This window comes from Homo sapiens, chromosome 5 (assembly GCF_000001405.40).
Source record: "Homo sapiens chromosome 5, GRCh38.p14 Primary Assembly".
Lineage (NCBI taxonomy): Eukaryota > Metazoa > Chordata > Mammalia > Primates > Hominidae > Homo > Homo sapiens.
In genome coordinates, this window is record NC_000005.10 from 27,771,936 (window position 1) to 27,792,458 (window position 20,523).

The following is a 20,523-nucleotide window of genomic DNA, read 5'->3' on the forward strand; positions in this document are numbered from 1 at the left end:
GGCTATTGATGTTTATAAGAGATTTTAACAATTACATAATATTTTTATGATACCTTAATCATAAGCAAAAATATCAATAAAAATGTGGAAAATGGGCCAGGCGCAGTGGCTCACGCCTGTAATCCCAGCAATTTGGGAGGCCAAGGCAGGTGGATCACATGAGGTCAGGAGTTCAAGATCAGTCTGGCCAACATGGTGAAACCCCGACTCTACTAAAAATACAAAAAAGTTAGCCAGGCGTGGTGATGGGCACCTGTAATCCCAGCTACTTGGGAGGCTGAAGCAGGAGAATTGCTGGAACCCAGGAGGTGGAGGTTGCAGTGAGATCACGCCATTCTAGTGAGATCACTGCATTCTAGCCTGGGCGACAGAGCAAGACTCCATCTCAAAATAAACAAACAACAAACAAACAAAACAAACAAACACACAAAAAACATGGTAAATGCAGCTTATGGGGCACAGAAATCAGGTAAGAGATAAGGTAGAGCAGGGGAATGCTTTTTTTAATTCTAATCATTAAATATGTGTTTAAGTACTTAATTTTTACATTACATTGATTTAAATATGAAAGTTAAAAAGCCATGTTAGGAGGTTATAGCTCTTGATCAGATGACATAAGCACACACCATTCTGTCTCTCCCACTACATGTAGTTATTAAACCTAGACCGAATGCTAGGAACAACTATCTTAAAATTGAATAGTAGGAGGCAGATTGGGGAAGAAGGCCAGGGTTTGAATTTCCATTGAACTAGCTGTGCTTACCTTTTTCTCTCTCCTGCATCCCCATAGCCTGAACTGAATCCCACAACCTGAACAAAAAAGTGAGCACAGGCCTGCTGATAACAAGAGTTCCAGCAGAAGCTGTGGAAGACTGAAAAATGGCCCCAAAGATACACAGGTCGTATTCTCTGAAACCTGTGAATGTTTTTTTTTTTTTATATGGACAAAGGAAATTTGCAGATGTTATTAAATTAAGGATCTTGAGATGGAGGGATTAACCTGAATTAACTGGATGGGCCCTAAATGTAAATTACACAAGTGTCTTTAGAAGAGGGAAATAGAGAAAGATTCGACTGTAAAAGAAAATAAGGCAATGTGATTTGTGAAGCAGAGATTGGATTGATAAAGCCATAGGCCAAGGAATGCTAGTGCTATCAGAAGGTGGAAGAGGCAATGAATAAATTTTGCCCTGCACTCTCCAGGAGGACCAGCACTGCCCACACCTCAATTTTAGCACGTAAAACTCCTCTCAAACTCTGGAACTACAGAACTGTGAGAGAACACATTTCTGTTGTTTTAAACCACTAAGCTTAGGTAATTTTTTATAGCATGCTTTAAACTAATAAAGAAGCCATCTGGCCACATGGTTAAGTAATGGAACTCCAGATGCTGAGAGAAAGTGGAGGATCCCTCCAACTTTTTTGGTTAATATTTTCTTTGTTGTTTCTTGTACTATGCCTAAAGAAATTCTTTGGCAGTGACATCGGGGACACCAACAACATTCCGTCTCCCCAAGAGAAATCAAACTCTAAGGAAAGAAAATATTTTTATTTCAGAGTTGAGGAGCTGTGGCCCAAAGGCTGTGGGGTGAATATTCATTTTTATTTTTCTTTATCTTTCCATGTGCTGCTTTATCCCAGATATGGGCACATTTGCAGAAAGTGCAACAGAATGAGCTAAGTAATGCCCAAGCTTTCTGGCCAGAAGATAGAAGAGAGAAGCTTCAGAGAACAGAAATTAGTTGAGAGATTTTCCAGAGGGAGGGGCTTTAGAAAGTGAACTCTTATTTATGATGAAAAACTAAATGTAATAAAGTGTAGTAGAGGAAATAGTAATGATTTCTTGTACGTTTTAGATATTTTTTGAATGAGTTGTGACTGATGTGATTCTGATAATTTTCAACAACATGTCATATTTTATTTAAAAGAAAAAGCATGTATTTATATTTATATTCTAATACATGCAATCTTATAATAAGGTTTTGGTCATTAATTGGCCCTGAACACTTTATATGATCATTATGATCTGACTTGTCTAGATTATTAAGCAATTCACCATATCTAAATCACTACTATTCATTTAATTTCACTTCATCAAACTATAGTTAATAAACTAAGACACCAGATAAAAAACTTGAACCATATTGACATTGAATAAAGAAATATACAATACTCTGGCATATAGTTAGCCTTTAATTTTAAAGAAATAAGAAAAGGAAAAAAGGTGAAGTATTAAAACAGAAATGAAAATCTTTACCTATAGTAACAAAGCCTTACCTATTTCTTGGACCATACCCAGAAGTAAGTTATATGAATAAGATAATAAAACTTTCAGGTTCACAGATTAAAGAAGAAGTGAAGGACTGAGAAATATCTGAGCACATTTATATTTCAGAAACAAGTGGGTTGTGTGTCAGAATTGTGTTCCTGAGTCAGTTGTTTTGGACTTAAACACACATCTCTTTTACAAACATTGTTGTCCATGGGATTAGCTCCCCAAGCTACTCTACAAAATTCTCTTTTCTATAAATTACCTGAAGAAAAATATGAATCACACATCTCTATGTATACTGTGATTCCAGATTTTCCAGTCACTGTGCTTCATTACCCAGAGTTGACATCTCAAAATCTGTTTCCCCTCCACACGTACCATAGTCATACTAAATAATTAATCTAGGTTCACACTTTTCTACTTCATCAACTTACCTTCAGCCATTAAAAGTATAAAAAAATCTAAAAGCACCTAAATAAAATCAAATAAGCCTAAATGCTTCACTCACACTTATTTGGTTATTTGTACAACATTTGTACTTCTCCCTTAAAGCAGCCTACTTTGGCTATCAGAATCATTTGGACTAAAATCCTGAACTTCTTTGGTTTGTTGGTCTGCTTAATGCTTCCTTTTCCTTAATCTACTTTTGAAATTTCAGGGACATTAATTGCTACTTTTTGTTGTTGTTGTTGTTTGTTTTTGTTTTTGTTTTTTGTTTTTTTTTGGATGGAGTTTGGCTTTTGTTGCCCAGGCTGGAGTGCAATGGCTCAGTCTTGGCTCACTGCAACCTCTGCCTCCGGGGTGCAAGCAATTCTCCTGTCTCAGCCTCCTGAGTAGCTGGGATTACAGGTACCTGCCATGACACCCGGCTAATGTTTTTTTTTTTTTTTTTTTTTTTTTTGTATTTTTTTAGTAGAGATGGGGTTTTGCCATGTTGGCCAGGCTGGTCTTGAACTCCTGACCTCAGGTGATCTGCCCACCTCAGCTTTCCAAAGTGCTGGGATAGGAAAAAAAAAAAAAACAGTTTTGGTACTCTATCTTCATTATCAAATTTACCTAGTTTATATGGCTGCCAAGCTATACCATATTTGCCAAGTTAATTCTTTCTCTTATTCTCTGCAGAGAAATATTGTTTCTTTAAAATAGCCAACCCTTCCTTTTCATGACTAAATTTGCTTCCTACATTTCAGATTGAAACTGCTTCAAACTTCAGCCATTATAACTGTAAATATATTTGAAACCACATTCCTTCATCAGTCAAGTTTGAGTCAAGAAAGTACAAAGTGCTCTAAATATTTCAAACTGGAAGGGATAATATTTAAGTTAGGTATTAGCAAGCCTATAGAAGAGCTGGTAGAATGAAAGACAGAGAATAATGCCACTGTTTTTCAGAAAGTGAAGAAGCTGCCACCAATAGCCTCGGCCACTAACAGCACTAAAGTACATTTGTTAAATAAAATTTCCAGAATTAGGGAGAAATTTGTGTCTACTTTCTGCTCTTGGGACTCCTATCCTTCTGGAAGACAATTATAGCTTCCAGTCTGTGTATGTTATGCACGTACCTCTTGATGGTGGAATCTAACCTGGCATTATGTTAGTTAGAAATCTGAGAAAAACCATTCTCAGGTTTCCAGTCCGTATGATACCAGGGAGAGTGTAGAAGTTGAAATTGCTGAAGCTTAATTGACTACCAGAAATCTGGCTCACCACTCTTTACTTTTGCCAACAATTGCAGTGGAAGATATAGCTTTCTCAGGGTGAGAAATAAGACTTCATATATTCTTTGTATTGCATCCATTTCTGTGCTCTCTAGAGACATTTTTCTATCAATTTTCCCTTCTGTTACCAACGTCTTCAAAATATTTCTGTTTGCTGGATCCCATCAGCATTTAAACAAAATCAGTTTTTCTCTCACCTTAGAGAAAAAATCATTAATAAAATTTTATGCATCCCATGTACTCAGTCTAATTAACATATAAGTTTTCACTTTTGTGAAGTCAACCAAAATGTTTAATATTTCTTATGTAATTTCTCTAAAAGTAAGTAATATCTACATTTATATTACAAATAGTTTTTACCATTTCAATATACTGAATGCTTCTAATAGTGAAAAATAGTTTGGAAGTTTTAAGCATATATGCTAATAATTATATTATAGTTTTCAATAATGTCCTATAAGTTGCTACAATGAAAAGTCCTTCAAAAATTAAATCAGGGCTAATCAAGTAAGTTTTATTTGTCCTGTGGGATATTGAAGAAAATTATCACAGTTAAAGTGTAGATAAAGCAGCTCCATGTTTTGTTACAGAGAAAAGTTTAAGTTACAGCCTCCTAAATCCAAATAGTTGGAATGATTATGTCTGAGGAAGTGTCATGTCAGATCTTCTAGAAGCACAGCATCTGTCCTAAGTCCTCGCTATACTGCAGACACTGATTATACATTAGAGATCTCTTATTCTTGTCAGTGTATCTCCTTAGTGTCAACATTTTTCAATGAACAAACAATCTGGTACTTACGATTAAGTATGCACCACATTTGTGAATTAAAAATATCCGGCCGGGTGCGATGGCTCACGCCTGTAACCCCAGCACTTTGGGAGGCCAAGGCGGGGGGATCACAAGGTCCAGAGATTGAGACCATCCTGGCTAACAGGGTGAAACCCTGTCTCTACTAAAAATACAAAAATTAGCTGGGCGTGGTGGTTCCTGTAGTCCCAGCTATTCAGGAGGCTGAGGTAGGAGAATCACTTAAACCCAGAAAGTGGAAATTACAGTAAGCCAAGATCGTGCCACTGCACGACACAGCGAGATTCTGTCTCTAAAAAAAAAAAAAAAAAAAAAAAAAAAAAAAAAAAAAAAAATTCCACCCATTGCACTAAGGCTACCTAGGCTAAGAGCTGAATTTAAGTCTATTTTCAAACTTAAGACTGTGAAAATAGAATAGGAGTCAGTTTCTTGGAAGTCTCCATGAATTACGCTGATAAGACCTTAGACCAGCTATGAGATTTATTCTGTACTTTTGAAATAGCTAAGAATACAAAATACTATGCAGTTTTATAGAAAAAAAGTTATTTTGGAATTTACTTTTAACTTACATAATTATAATGTTAATGTCTTACTGTAATGAGAAAAATGAAATCTAAAATTAGAATCAAAACAAAAGATGAGTTGCTGCCACTGGCTGTCAATAATCAGTTAAGTGAAGATATGTTGTACCAATAGAGTACCATTGGTATATGTTATACCAAAACTCTTAATCTGAGAATTTCTCATTCAACAATTATTCATTTACTAGGCAATGAATGAGGACCTAGAAAAATAAAAAAATACTAAGAGCAGTTATCATCTTTTGTAAGAGTGACATTTACAGTGTATTAGTCAGGGTTCTCCAGAGAAACAGAACCAATGGAGTGTGCGTGTGTGTGTGTGTGTGTGTGTGTGTGTGTGTGAGAGAGAGAGAGAGAGAGAGACAGAGAGACAGAGAGAAAGAATGAGAAGAAGGAAGGAAGGAAGGAAAGAGAGAGTGAAAGAAAGAAAGAAAGAAAGAAAGAAAGAAAGAAAGAAAGAAAGAAAGAAAGAAAAGAAAAGAGAAAAGGAAGACTTATTATAAGAAAAGATCTCCTGTGATTATGAAGGCTGACAATCTGAGTATTTCTGGGGTGAGTTGAAATGTTGGAGGCACACACAGAAGAACCAATAGTGTAGTTCCTGTTTGAGTCCAAAAACTTGAGAACCAGGAGAGCTGATGGTGCAATTCCAGTTTAACAACTAGCAGGATGAAGACCAAGGAGGAGCTGATATGTCAGTCTCAGTATGAAGGTAGGAAAAATTCTCCCTTACTTGGAGGAGGTTCGGCCTTTTTGTTCTATTTAGCTCCTCAGCTGATTGGATGAAGCCCACTCACATTAGGGATAGCTAGCTGCTTCATGGTCATCCTCCCTTATCTGCAGTTCTGCAGTTCCATTAACCCATGGTCAAGCATGATTCGAATATGTCAAACAGGAAATTTCAGAAATAATTCATAAGTTTTAAATTACATGCCATTTGGAGCAGCATGATGCAATCTCACAGCATCCCACACCTTCCCTGGTAGGACGCTAATCACCCCTTTGCCAACAGATCCATGCTGTATACACCGCCTACCCCATTAGTCACTTAGTAGCTGCTTGGTTCTTAGCTTGGCTTTTGCAGTATAGCAATGCAGCAGCAGTGCTGGTGTTCGAGGACCTCTTATTGTACTTCACAATGGCTCCAAAGTAGAATAGTGGTGATGCTGATAATTCAAATATGCCAAAAATAAATTTTAAAGTGCTTCCTTTAAGGGAAAAAGTGAAAGTCCTCAACTTAACAAGGAAAAATATTGTATGTTGAGGTTGCTAAAATTTTCAGTAAAAGCAAATTTTCTATCCACGGAATTGTGAAGAACAAAAGAAATTCAGGATAGTTTTGCTGTCCCACCTCAAACTGCAAAAATTACAGCCACAGTGTGTGATAAGTGCTTGGTTAAGATGGGAAAGGCTTTACATTTGTGGGTGGAAGAAATGAACAGAAATATGTCCCAACTGACAGCCATGAGATTCAGAACTATTTGTGGTTTCAGGCATACACTGAAGATTTTGGAAGCTATCTCCCTTCCAAGGATAAGATGAAACTACTGTACTCAGTGTACCAATGCACAAGTTTATCTCATCCAAAACACCCTCACAGAGAGACCCAGAATAATACTAAATAGCTAAGTACCCAGAGGACCAGTTACACACAAAATTTATAATTACCTGTAGTTAGAGTCCAGTATAGTAAAAATTTTTGATATCTGCATAGAATGCTGTCAAATATATAGAAACTGCAGTTTTAATGTATACAGTGACTTAAAATTTAGAGTAGATTTTCATAATTTTTTATACCATTGAATCTTAACAATTTTTTATGGTATATACTCTTACCTTTATTTTTCGAAGTGACTATATATATAATTAAATTCTACTTTGATTGTTACAGAGGATGACATTTTTCTGTTATGTTAATTTTATTTAAATTATATTTATGAATTTATTTTCCATATATTCCATACTGAAAACTAGTTTATAGTAGTTTTTGATATATGCTAATAATGTTTATAACTAGAATATAGTGTTTTCTTCTGCAGCATTTGCTGATTGAATAAATACATATTACTATTGGTTATATGCTGGTCTACAATGCTCTAGTTTGATACTATATCCAGATGAATACAGGTACAAAATGATAAGTGAGTAATTAATGAATAGATGCCGTTTAATTATACACAAGTGCAGGGTATAGAGCTTCTGTTTGATATCACAGTTGATTTCAGTAGAGCTAATCACCAATATTATAAAATTAACCTTTCTAAATATTTTAACAACTTCTGAATTTATCATTTAAAATGGTACATGATTAATAAAAGGTCAAATTATTCTGTGATCATCAGAAGCTCATATGTATATTATCCTTAAGACATAGATTTTCAAGTTAAATATTTTAGTATCCACATAAAGAAATTATCTAAACATCAGTGGTATTCCTCTTTGACAAATAAAACCATAGTACTTGAAAATTTCTTTATTATTTTGATAAATGTTGAGACTTATACCATAGCCACTTGGATTGGAAGTGTTTATCATGGAAGAAAAGGGTATGGGCTTTCTAATCAAATAGTCTAGAATATTCTTTTAAGCTTTAGCACTTACGAGTGACATAATCTCAAGCAATTTACCTCCTAATGTTCAGATAGGTGGGTGATAGACAGGTACACATCTAGTACAGAGTTTGACACAGAATAATTGCTAAATTAATACAAGTTTATTCTTTCCCATAAATTTTGCATCTTGTTGAATTGTGTGTATTATCCATGGGTTGGAAAACACAGAGTGAAAGCCAGAGAGAGAGAGAGAACGCGAGGGAGCACAAAAGAGTATCTCTGGGGAAAACCTAACTATCTGCATACAAATGCTGCCTCCACTTTCGTTATGATTAAGTTAAAAATAAATTATTGTTGTTGATTAATATATTCAGAAATAAACTTTTAAGTTAAACCATTGCTATTTTATAATTCAAATAACAATAGTTTACTTTCCATTTTCTTCAAACTTATAAAATATATTAATAATTATATGCCTTTAAAAGTAAACTCTCTCTATATGGAAATGGAAATACAATATATTGTTTAAGATTGAACAGTGGTAACATAAACACTGGGGATTAATGAAGTATCTCTTCCTTTCCTTTATGCTTTCTCTACTAACTTATACCTTTCTCTAGTAAGGCACAGGTAACATTTTATATTCATACTTTGACAATAAACTTTATATAAAAAATTTGCCTTATCAAACCTAACAATGAAAGATCTGCCACAATCTAACAGCACAATACTTGCTTATTCAATTCAATCATTCCTATATTCAAATTAAAATTATATTTCATCTTAAGTTCTCAATTTGCTACTTGAGTACCATAAAACAAGCTGGATTATGATCATCATCATATCCAACATATTCTGAAGACATGGGAGATGACTGCTAATCAACTATGAAAAAATTCTGACTATAATACTAGCAGTAAGAACAGGTGAGGGGCAATTACAATTCTGCAGAGGGAAAGAAACACAATGTAACACACATGATTGATGTTTCTCCACTTAGCTTATTTTTAATAGTACAAACATGGCCAATTTTTATTTATTTCGACAGGCTTTAACACATGCACATTTGAAAAATTTTAATAGTCTTGATATTTTGTTTTTCAGAAGCGAATATAAAAACATTCATATTAATGTTACACTTTTAATGCCTTTTCTGACTTTTTAAAAGAGAGACTCAAAATGCATTCTGATCCATATTAAAATGTTTGTTTTGTAACAACAAGCCCTATGACATTATGTCTTACAATATTATGTGTGCTAATCTCCCGAGACCTCTTGCCTTAATAAATTGTCAACCAACTGGGAGGTGATTTTCATTCTTGACATTCAAAAATCCCACTTCAAAGTAAAGTGCTGTCATAATGGGAAGCTTAATTCAAATTAACTAAAATCAGAGAGTCAGAGTTTTCTGAAAGCAAAACAGAATCCAAGAAACTTTTGTCATGTAAGCACTCTGTTGTGGTGAATTCCCATAGGTTTATGTTGTCTTGGCATCCATTTTGAATACAAGTTTAATTTCTTCATACCAGAAGCAGAGTCCAATTACCCTTAACACCGTTTCTAGATCTACATCCCACTGACACGGGTCAAACATGGGCCAGAGATAAGAACTTAGAAACATCTTTTCTGACTAGTATATTTGACTCCCTGCTTTCTTGCCACTTTTTTAAAATGGAAAATTTAGGCATTTGTCCTTGAACTTGAAGTCACCCACACTCTATTCCCTTTTATATACCACTAGTTACCACTCACTCAATCTCTCTCTGTCTTTTTGCTTGACTCTTCATTCCTGTCTTGGATGACCCAGGGACAGAGGACTGCCCTCATTATTCTTTCCCTGCCCAGGTTCAAGTAGAAATCTTTGAACTAGTTTCCTGTCATGGTGGTATATGGAATATGTGCCTTCCACTTGGAAAACTAGGGGCTTCTCCAGCCCAGGATTTCCCTGGAACACCAGGGGGAACACAAGGTCAGGCTCTCAGCACCACAGTGATGGTCAGACAGGCATAAAACTGGACATGCTCACACAAGAACCACACACAAGGGCCTCTGACAGTATAAACAAGTTTCTTGTGCAAGGACCTGTACTCCGTTTCCCAGGTATCAGATTGGACCACTAAGCATAAGGCCATGTGCCAGGTAAAAGAAGTATCTCATGGCAGACACCCTGTAAACACTCACATCCTGTTCCTCTTCATTTCATGTTAAGACAGGGTTGCTAGGGTTGCTAGCCACTCTGGTACTGGAATCCCAATTTAGCTAGGCACTCTCAAAGCATCTATAAAGTCTAATTCTTTTTACTTTTATTAATGTTTGTACAATATCAAGTTAACATAAATGTTCTCTTACATGTGTGCCTTTCATAATACTAATTCTTGTAGAAATGAAAGCCTCTCTAAAGCCATTTTAAGAATTTAAATAACATATACAAGCACAATTACCTTGAAGATCTGAGAATGGTATCTCCAGCTAATGCTGTTATTCCTTAGTGGTATTTGCCTAAGTGAAGTGAAAAATAGTCAAGAAGGGATGTAGAGTTGTTTGCAGGATGCTTTTATGAACTTAACACATCAATTGAATCAAGTCACAAGGTAGACACCTGTGTCCAAAAAGCCCTTTTGAATGTCTGACAACTAAATGGCCAAGTAAATATAAATATTTTTGTCTTGAATGCTTTCTTGAGAAAATGTTTATTAGTTTTCATATGGATGATGGTTAAGCTATTGCATATATTTATTTTAAATCGTAAACACTATTGCTATATTTACTTTTCATTTATTTAGAAGCAAATATATTGCAGGATAATATGTTAACTTTGAACTATAAGTATGAAATTTGAAGTATTGTCCACTAAGATTAACTTTTATATACTTAATAGTATTGCCATTTTTTTCTGATAGAAAAATTAAAAGTGATAGTCACCTAATTATCACTAAATAATTATAGAAAGGTTTATACATTTATAGTTTTAAGTAGGAAAGGAAGCAAACAGTTATTCAGCTACTACATTCAAATAGTTTATAATTTATCATCCCTTTCTAGGTAATATTGCAGTTTATATTTACTAACAAAGAGTTATTTATTTAAGAATATGTAATAACATAAATTGAATTTATAAATAGTGAATTCAAATTATTGCATGTACATTTTAGTGTCAGAAGGAAATTCAGATGGTAGTACCATTTAGTAAATAATTGTTTTGGGGCTGATCTTTTTTGAAAAAATAAAAGTAGTCTCTTCAGTTAATCAAATAACTAGTACTAGATACAAGTATTGAACACTTGAAGAAACACAGGTGTTTCCACAAAATTTAAAGAATAATTATTTCGTTCCCCAATATGTATGGGTGTCAGTGTTTTATCCAGAAGGAATAATATCACATTTAAGAATTAATTCAAAGAATAATAAATAAAATATAGTATCATAATAAAAAACATTATCAATAGGGAAAACAAAAGCCTTGATAAGACCATAAAACTAATGATCAATTATAGATTTGTGTAGTTAATTTTAAAATATTAATAAAGGCAAAATAAATGAATATGGATTTTTATGTGAAATATTATAGTGATTTCTTTTTCCAAAATCCTAGGTAATATAAAATAGAATGGGATATTTTGAGAATTGTTAATAATGTCTTGAAACTAAGCATAGTTTATGGAAGAAAGCAATGTGGGTTTTAAAATTTGTTTTATTGGCCGGGCACAGTGGCTCACACCTATAATCCCAGGACTTTGGGAGGCCGAGGTGGGCGGATCTCCTGAGGTTGGGAGTTTGAGACCAGCCTGGCCAGCATGGTGAAACCCTGTCTCTACTAAAAATACAAAAATTAGCCAGGCATGGTGGCAGGTGCTGTAATCACAGCTACTCGGGAAGCTGAGGCAGGAGAGTCACTTGAACCCGGGAGGCGGAGGTTGCAGTGAGCTGAGATAGCGCCACTGCACACCAGCCTGGGGGACAGAGTGAGACTCCATCTCAAAAAAAAAAAAAAAATTGTTGTATTAAAATTTATGTAGATCAGCGGCTCTCAAATGTGACCCTTGTTAGAAATGCATATTTTCAAGTCTACACCAAATTATGAATCAAAATTCTTCAGTGGGGACTTGCAATCTTGTAATCTGTCTTAACAAAAAGTGATACTTTTTAAAGAAATGAATGGACTAAGTTTGTAAAATGCCCAGCGTGACATCTTGAATATATAAAAGCTCAAATGTATTGAAATTGCTTACAATTGCTACTCTTACAATTTTTTATAATTGCTATATTAATATTGTATTAATTGTATTTAAAAATATTTTTAGACTCATTTTGACTGAAGTCTTTTTTTATTGATCAGCATTATTTGTCTAATATTTATGTAGTATTGGTCTATGTCTTGAATTTCTACATGGAGGTATTGATTGATCTATGCACATACATCATCATTAGACTGATTTTAATTTTAACCCTTTGTATTACATATTACATTGTACTACCTTAGTGAGTACATCTTCTTGTTATCTTTCAATACATTCTTATATCATTCATTTGTGGTTCTGTGGGTTTTTTTTGTTTGTTTCATTTTTAACTCTTGTATATACATGACATGGTATTATATTCTGAGAAAACTGCAGTAGATAGTACAGAGTCCCTGTCTCACAACGTGTAGTTTTCAGTGAGAGAGACAGATCATGTGGTTTCACAAACCACTTTAGTAATTATCTCTTGCTCTCTAAGTAGGATGTATGATCTCTGTCCCCTTGACTTCTTAAGTATCTTTCTAAGAATTTCTCAAAATTTGCTACTTTAGATCATGAAATATCTTGCAGATAATTGGGAGAAGAAAAGGTGTTATTCTTTCCAATCTTAAAAAAATAATAATTAGAAAAATCTCTCTCCAACATTGTTTTCCTCTGTGTATTCTAGTATTCTGCCAGCTGACTATGATTTTGTGATTGTTCTTGTGATGGTTAATTTTTATATGCCAACTTGGCTCGGCCAGTGTCTTAGTCCATTTATGTTGCTATAAAAGAATTCCACAGACTAGGTAATTTTTTAAAAAAATAAATTTATTTCTCACAGTTTTGGAGACTGGGAAGTCACATATCAAGGTACCAGCATCTGGCAAGAGCCTTCTTTCTGCATCTTCCCACAGCAGTAAACAGAATGGGAAGAGTGCATGAAAGAGGGAGTGGAAGAAGCCTATATTTATTCTTTCAGCAGGAACCAACTGTTGCAATAACTAACCCACTCCTGGGATAGTGACATTAATCTATTCATGACCTAATCCCCTCTTAAAGGTCCCACTTTTCAACAATGTAAAATTGAGGATAACGTTTTCAACACCAGAACTTTGGGGGACACATTCAGACCACAGCAGCCAGGTTGACATGTTTGCTCAAGCATTATTCTGAATGTTTCTGTGATAATATTTTTTGGTGAGATTTACATTAGGCTGGTGGACTTTAAATAAAGCAGATTTTTCTCCATGATATGAGTCAAGCGTATTCAATCTGTTGAAGGCCTAAAGGGAGCAAAAGTCTGACCTCCCTCTAGCAAGAGGGAATTATCCAGATGTCTGCAACATTGGCTCTTCTTGAATTCTCCAGAAGATGGCTTTTGTACTTAAGCCACAACTCTTTCCTGCGTCTCCAGCTTGCCAGCCCTCCCAGCCTCCACAAATAGATGTTGGACCCATCAAACCTCCACAATTACGCGGCCAATTTTTCAAAATAACTTATACACACACAAACACACACACATATTTACTTGTGTTTGTATAATTTATTTTGAAAAATTTATTTTGAAATATATATATAAATAAGATATACATTATGTATTACATTTAGATAAAGTAATACATACATACACACCCTTTTTGGTTCCGTGTTTGAAGAATCCTAATACAGTGATTGTGAGGGTGTGTGTGTGTGTGTGTGTATTTAACTGTGTGTCTTGAGGGCCTATGCAGTTCCTCTGATAGCATATGAAATATATGGCAGGGGCTGCTTCATGACTAAGGTTAACTCCCTAAATGATTGTGAGTCCGACTGTAACTGCTTGTATGGCTGTGCTTGTGTTTTTCTATGGATGTTTGTGTTTTGGGGGTTAGTGTTAGGATAATAAGTGTATTTACATGGTATGAGGCAGAGAATTGTTTATTTGTGAGAGATTCACTCTCACCTTCTGCTGCTAAAAAATTAATGTAATTCTGTTATGTGTAGAATAATAATAATGATAGGTAAAATTATAAACTTAGATATATTTATTCAACCATTATTTTTGTATCAGATATTTATGCGTTACATCGTATTGTTAATGTTAGAGTGAAAATGGTGAACACAAATATTTCATATTTTTATGAGATGAAGAGTCAGGTGGGGCCCTAAGAGATGACAAAAAACAGGCTCAGGAAAACAAAATTTATTATACTAATAGGTCTTAGAGACTGGAGGCATGGCATGACACTCAGGGCCACAAGAAAAAGACACCACGCTGGGCAGGAGAAAAAATGGTGGCAAGGAGGAGGCTTGGATTAGAGCCTTTATTGGGATTTCTATGAAAAAGAAAAAGCAGAGTTCACTGGGGCGGGGGACTCACCTTGCAGACCCAATGGGATAGGGGAAGTCTGGCCTTTTGGAACCACTGGGGTGGGAGTACCATCATCCAGAACTGGGGGTGGAGGTCCCGCCCCCACAGCTCTACCCGGCAGAGGTCATACCTTCAGGACTCTGCCAGGTGGCCCTGTCTTACAGCTCTAGGTGGCTGTGACCCCACAGCTTTGGGCAGTAGCCAACTGGCCTTTGAAAATAAGGCATTGTACCCTCTCTTGAAACCAAAAATGCAGCCCTAATAATCTCTGAGTCACCTTTGGTGTCATTTTTTCCTCTGCTTGAAGAATAGTATATGTTCTCAGTCTAATAGCTCTGTGGTCCCATTCAGAAAAATCTCAGAAGTCCAACAGTCTATTTTTATTCCTTACCATCTTCTTCCCCTTCAGTTCCAGCTGATAGTTTTCCTCCTGGCATGGCTGATTTAATTCACAGTTTACACTCATACTAATCTTTTTGTCAGACAAATGTTTGGCCACACTCTTAGTTCTCCCCTAAATATACTTATTTAGATTTTACAATATGGATAGGATGAGAAATTTTCAAATCTTTTAAGTTCTCTTTTTGCTCTGCTTACCAATTTTATCTATAAGTCATTTATCTCTTCTTGAATTTTATTACAAGTAGTCAAGCCGAACCAGACCACTCCTTCAAACAGTTGACTTAAAAATTGCTTCAGCTAAATATCCAGTTACATTGCTCAGAAATTCTCCCTTTCACAAAATACTAGAATATGAACACAATTCAGTCACGTTCTTTACCACTTTATAATAAGGATTGCCTTTTCTCCATTGTCCAATAGCTTGTTGCTTGTTTCCATCTGAGATCTCATGAGAAGAGCCTTTCTTATCTACAGTCCTGCAAACATTCTGTTCAAAATTACTTAGATATTCTAAAAGAAGACTGAGGCTTTTTATAGAGCTCCTCCTTGTTTTTTTTCTGGTCCCTCATCAGAACCACTCTTCATGGTTCAATTATGGCAATGCAGGCTTCTAGCATTCACCTCAAAACTCCTCCAGTCTCTGCACATCACCCAGTTCTAAAATTGCTTCCACATTTCTAGGTATTTGTTACAACAGCACCCCCATTTGTCAGTACCAATTTCTATCTTAGTCAGTTCAGGCTGCTATAACAAAAATAGCATACACTGGGTAGCTCATACATGTAAAGAAGTATTTCCCAGTGTTCTGTAGGCTGAAAAGTCCAAGGTCAATGCACAAGCAAACTCAGCATCTACTGAGGGCCTTGTTCCTATGGCTTATAGATGCTCATTTTCCAACTGTGTCCTCACATGGCAGAAGAGATGAGGAAGTTTTCCAGAGTCTTTTCTATAAGGTCACTAATCCCGTTCTTGAGGGCTCTGCCCTCGGGACCTAATCACCTATCATAGGATGCATCTCGTATTACCATCATTTTAGGAGTTAGAATTTTAACACACAGATTTTGGGGAGACACCCACATTCATTCCATAGCAGTAAGAGAGGCTGTATTTTTCTCATAAGAAAATGTTTTATTGTTTGTTTTCTGTTTTTATTTAAAATGTCATAACCTGATGGCATGCCAAAACTATACATATATATACACACATATACACAAAACAATAAACAATATAGTCTTATTGACATTATTATAGTTTGTTAAAAGGTACAGCAAAGAACAAGTAAGTAGAAAAACAATTACTAATTTCGCTTGGTGCTGTAAAGTAGAACAAGTGAGATTGTACTCAAGTGTAAGAGAGGAAGGCGATCAATACATGACTCTCTGGGAAGGTAATATTTAAGGTGAACATTGAAAAATGAAAAGGAATTAATTGTGCAAAGAACTGGGGTGAGACTGACACTAGTGGAGAAAATAGTGGTCATAGCCAGGGCAGGAGAGAGCTCAGCTGATTACAAATAGAAAGATCATCATTGTGAACTACAGTATTTGGTTATTCCTTGAGTCATCTTTAATGTGCCAACAAAAAACACACTTGCCAAACTTGTCAGCTATCCAGACCTATGTATTTATTTTTAGCAACTGAACAACCAAAAAAAAATTTAGAATTAAAAATGGCTTTTTAGACCTCAGAATTCATAAATGTTAAGTGATGAATTTCAACTTAGCACTTAACGAATCCAAACACTTCCTACATCAAGATCTACCTAAACTCTGTTCTCTAACATTTATATTCACATCTTCCCATTTTGGGAGGCTGAGGAGGGAGGAAAGCTTGAACTCAGGAGTTCAAGACCAGCCTGGGAAACAAAGTGAGGCCTCATCTCTATGAACAATAAAAAAATTAGCCAGGCATGGTGGCACGTGTCTGTGTTGCAACTACATGGAAGGCTGAGGTTGAAAGGTTGCTTAAGCTCGGGAGATTGAGACTGTGGTCATCCATGTTTGTGCCACTGTACTCCAGCCTGGGTTAGAGAGTAAGACTCTCTCTCAAAATAATTAATTAATTAATTAATTAAAAAGTTCACTTTTTCCTAGGCCTACCTTTCCAGTCACTTCTCAGTTTACCTTATTTATATGGAAATGTGTTTTTGAGAAATTACCTGATTATTTTCTGAGCTCAAGTTTTTTTCTCATATCTAATATTTACCTTACTTATTGTTTTTGCTTTTATTTAGCTCTCTAAAATGTATCCCCGATTTGATTTCCAGCTTAAATCCTACCAGAATAACTATTCAGCCTACCCAGAATAAATTATGCTTTCATTTTAACTCTTATATTGAATATCTGTAACATTTAATTAGCTATTAACCAAGCACTGCCTTCTATTAAGTCCTTGAGTTGTTCTTGCTCTTGTTATTTCTATACTTACGTATTTAAGCTTCATCTCACTGTTAAATCAAGTTTAGCCTAAAGCTGCCTCCTTACATATTTTAAATTTGGCCCAAAGTTTTCTCTGTACATAATGAACTATAACCTAAATAGAGTCATAAACAGACTTCAGACTACTGTCGTGCCAGTCACTGAGTTGTGGCCAAAGGTGGCTAGCTGTTCAAGTTGTGTTCAAATAAGGCAAACACCGAGGTGTAACCAATCCGGCTGTTTCTGTACCTCACTTACTTTATCTGTATCGTCACTTTCCTTTTTCTGTCCATAACTCTTCTTCCGCCACATGGTTGAGCTGGAGTCTCTGTGCCTACTCTGGCTTTGGAGACGACCTGACTTGCGAAGCCTTCTTTGCTCAATTAAATTCTTTTAAATTTAATTTGGCTAAAATTTTTCTTTTAACACCACTGAATACAACGTAAATTTAGGTTACAGAAAATGCCTTATCATATTTGTAAGCCCCACAGTATTTAGTTGGACATTTTAAAATGTATTTTCACCTGTGGGAAAAGCATCACTGGAAAAAAAAATTAGGCCTATTTTCCAAATTACTGTTTTTTAGCACTGCAAGAAGGACATTTCCCAGGCTCTCAAAACACAGAGTTGAGGCAATCGAAGTCAATTAATTAATGGCAAAGATTGTTGTTATGGGTTGAATTTCTTTTTTCCCTCAGATATATTTGAAAGTTCTAACCTTCAATATCCGTGAATGGGATCTAATTCGGAAGTACAGTCTCTGCAGATGATCAAGTTAAGATGAAGTTTTAGCGTCAAACCCAATCCAATATTACTGCTGTCCTTATAAAAAGAAAAAAAAATGGACATAGAGACAAACGTGTAGAACGGTAAGATGGTGTGAAGACACAGGGAGAATGTCCTGTACAAATCAAAGAACACCTGAGGCCACCTGAAGCAAGGAGAGGTGCATAGAAAAAAAACTCCCTCACAGCTCTCAGAAATAACTGACACTGCCATCACATACACTTTAGACTTCCAGCCTCTAGAGCTGTCAGAAATAAGTTTCTGTTGCTTAAACCACTCATTTTGTTGTTCTTTTTTATGGCAGACCTAGCGAATGAATACATGTATTTAATACAATATTTTAAAATGAATTTAAATTCAATTTAAATCTGTAAGTTTGCAAAAATATTACTTTGTAAAAGCAAAGTAAACAATTTGTGTGTGTTTGTACTTCAGCTTATATAGAGGGGAATCAAACTAAAATGGCTCTAAGTGTATATATTATATATACATATATATACTTAGTATATATTCTATATATATACTATATATAGTATACTATATATATGGTATATATACTATACAGTATACTATATATATGGTATATATACTATACAGTATACTATATATATGGTATATATACTATACAGTATACTATATATAGTATATATACTATATATGTATATATAGTATATATACTATATATGTATATATATTGTATGTATACATATTATATATATGTGTATGTATATAGTATATGTATATATATGTATACAGTATACTATATATAGTATATAGTATATATAATATATATAGTATATATGTATATATAGTATACATGTATTATACTATATATAGTATATATACTATATATAGTATACATGTATATATACTATATATAGTATACATGTATATATGTATATGTATATATGTATATGCATATATGTATATATGTATATATGTATATGTATATATGTATATATAGTATATATGTATATACTATACATATATAGTATATATACTATATATACTATATAGTATACTATATAGTATATATAGTATACTATACACATATAGTATAAATATACTATATATGCTATTATATATACTACATATAGTGCATATATATACTATATATATTATATATTCTATATATATATTCTATATATACTAAGTATATAATAATAAATATATTTAAATAATATAAATTTATTAAATGTACTTTTAAATAATATAAACATTTTAATAATACAAATGTTTTAAGTATATATAATGTATATATTAATTTATATATCACATATAATATATAATATATTAATTTATATGTCATATATAGTATACAGACTTATATAATATAATTTATATATTTATATAATATAATTTATATTAATTTATATTATATATAAATACATATATACTATATATACTTACATAGTACACATTACTTATATATACTTATATAATGTAATTTATATTAATTTATATGTCACATATATAGTATATATTATATATTAATACACCATATATTAATGAGAACATTTATATTATTTAAATGTTTATATTATTTAAATGTACATTAATACATTTATATTATTTAAATATATTTAATACATTTATATTATTTATCTATATACATATAGATACATGAGAGAGACAGAAGAAGGAGGAGGAAGAAAAAGAGAAGGAAGAGGAGGAGGAAGAGGAGCAGTGATGAGGTAGAAGAATATAATCAAAATCACTCTCTCCTATTGGCTTATTGTTCACTATCTTCAATTTTTTTCTTCTGTTATTGGTGCTTTCGACAATTCAAATGTGACTAAAATGCAACAACATAATACCTTTGATACTACTTATTTATCTTCTATTTGCATGCTATAGTGAGCTATGAGATGGTTTAGAAAATTGAAGTTCTACTCTCTCCATCCTTTAGTTTTTGAAAAACACAGAAACAGAGGTTAACTTAAATTTTAAGTAAATTATATTAAACAAACAGCAGTCAATGATCTAAATAACTAATTGTCTGTATTACATGTGTTTAGCCCCTGAAAACAGAAAGCAGACGGATCATTAAGGCAAAGGACATAATACAATAACGTATTTGTTGTCTTAATCCCCTCTTATCATACTGATTAACTCATTTTTGCCCTGATGTTCTTCCAGAAATAAGATAAATATTACTCTCTAAATGCCCTCACAGTGCTGAGCTGCATGCATTTCCCTGCTTTTCCTCTATGCCAGCTTTTCTTTGATGCTGAAGTTTCAGAACATTTTGTGCATCTAGGCATATTAGGTATAAAAGCTTTTAATCACACTAATTCCTCTAACTGTTCCTAATCTATATCTAAGTCTCTCATCTGTTTCTATTCTGACACAGCTGCTGCTGGACCTAAAAAAAAATGTTTCTTACATACTGCTTTAACTGAGCTGAACTCAGAATT

The 20,523-nt window shown here is 34.1% G+C and overlaps 1 long non-coding RNA gene across 3 annotated transcripts; it reads left to right on the forward strand.

Moving 5' to 3' along the window:
* The first annotated feature begins 395 nt into the window (after nt 1–395).
* On the forward strand, nt 396–19,758 carry LOC105374696 (uncharacterized). Of its 3 annotated transcripts, none has more exons than XR_001742504.1 (3): nt 396–469; nt 791–899; nt 19,726–19,758. It is a non-coding gene; the product is annotated as an uncharacterized LOC105374696 (long non-coding RNA). The 3 variants fall into 3 exon arrangements; XR_925875.1 differs by lacking the exon at nt 19,726–19,758 and adding an exon at nt 3,463–3,540; XR_925876.2 differs by lacking the exon at nt 19,726–19,758 and adding an exon at nt 1,642–1,717.
* Nucleotides 19,759–20,523: the final 765 nt, after the last annotated feature.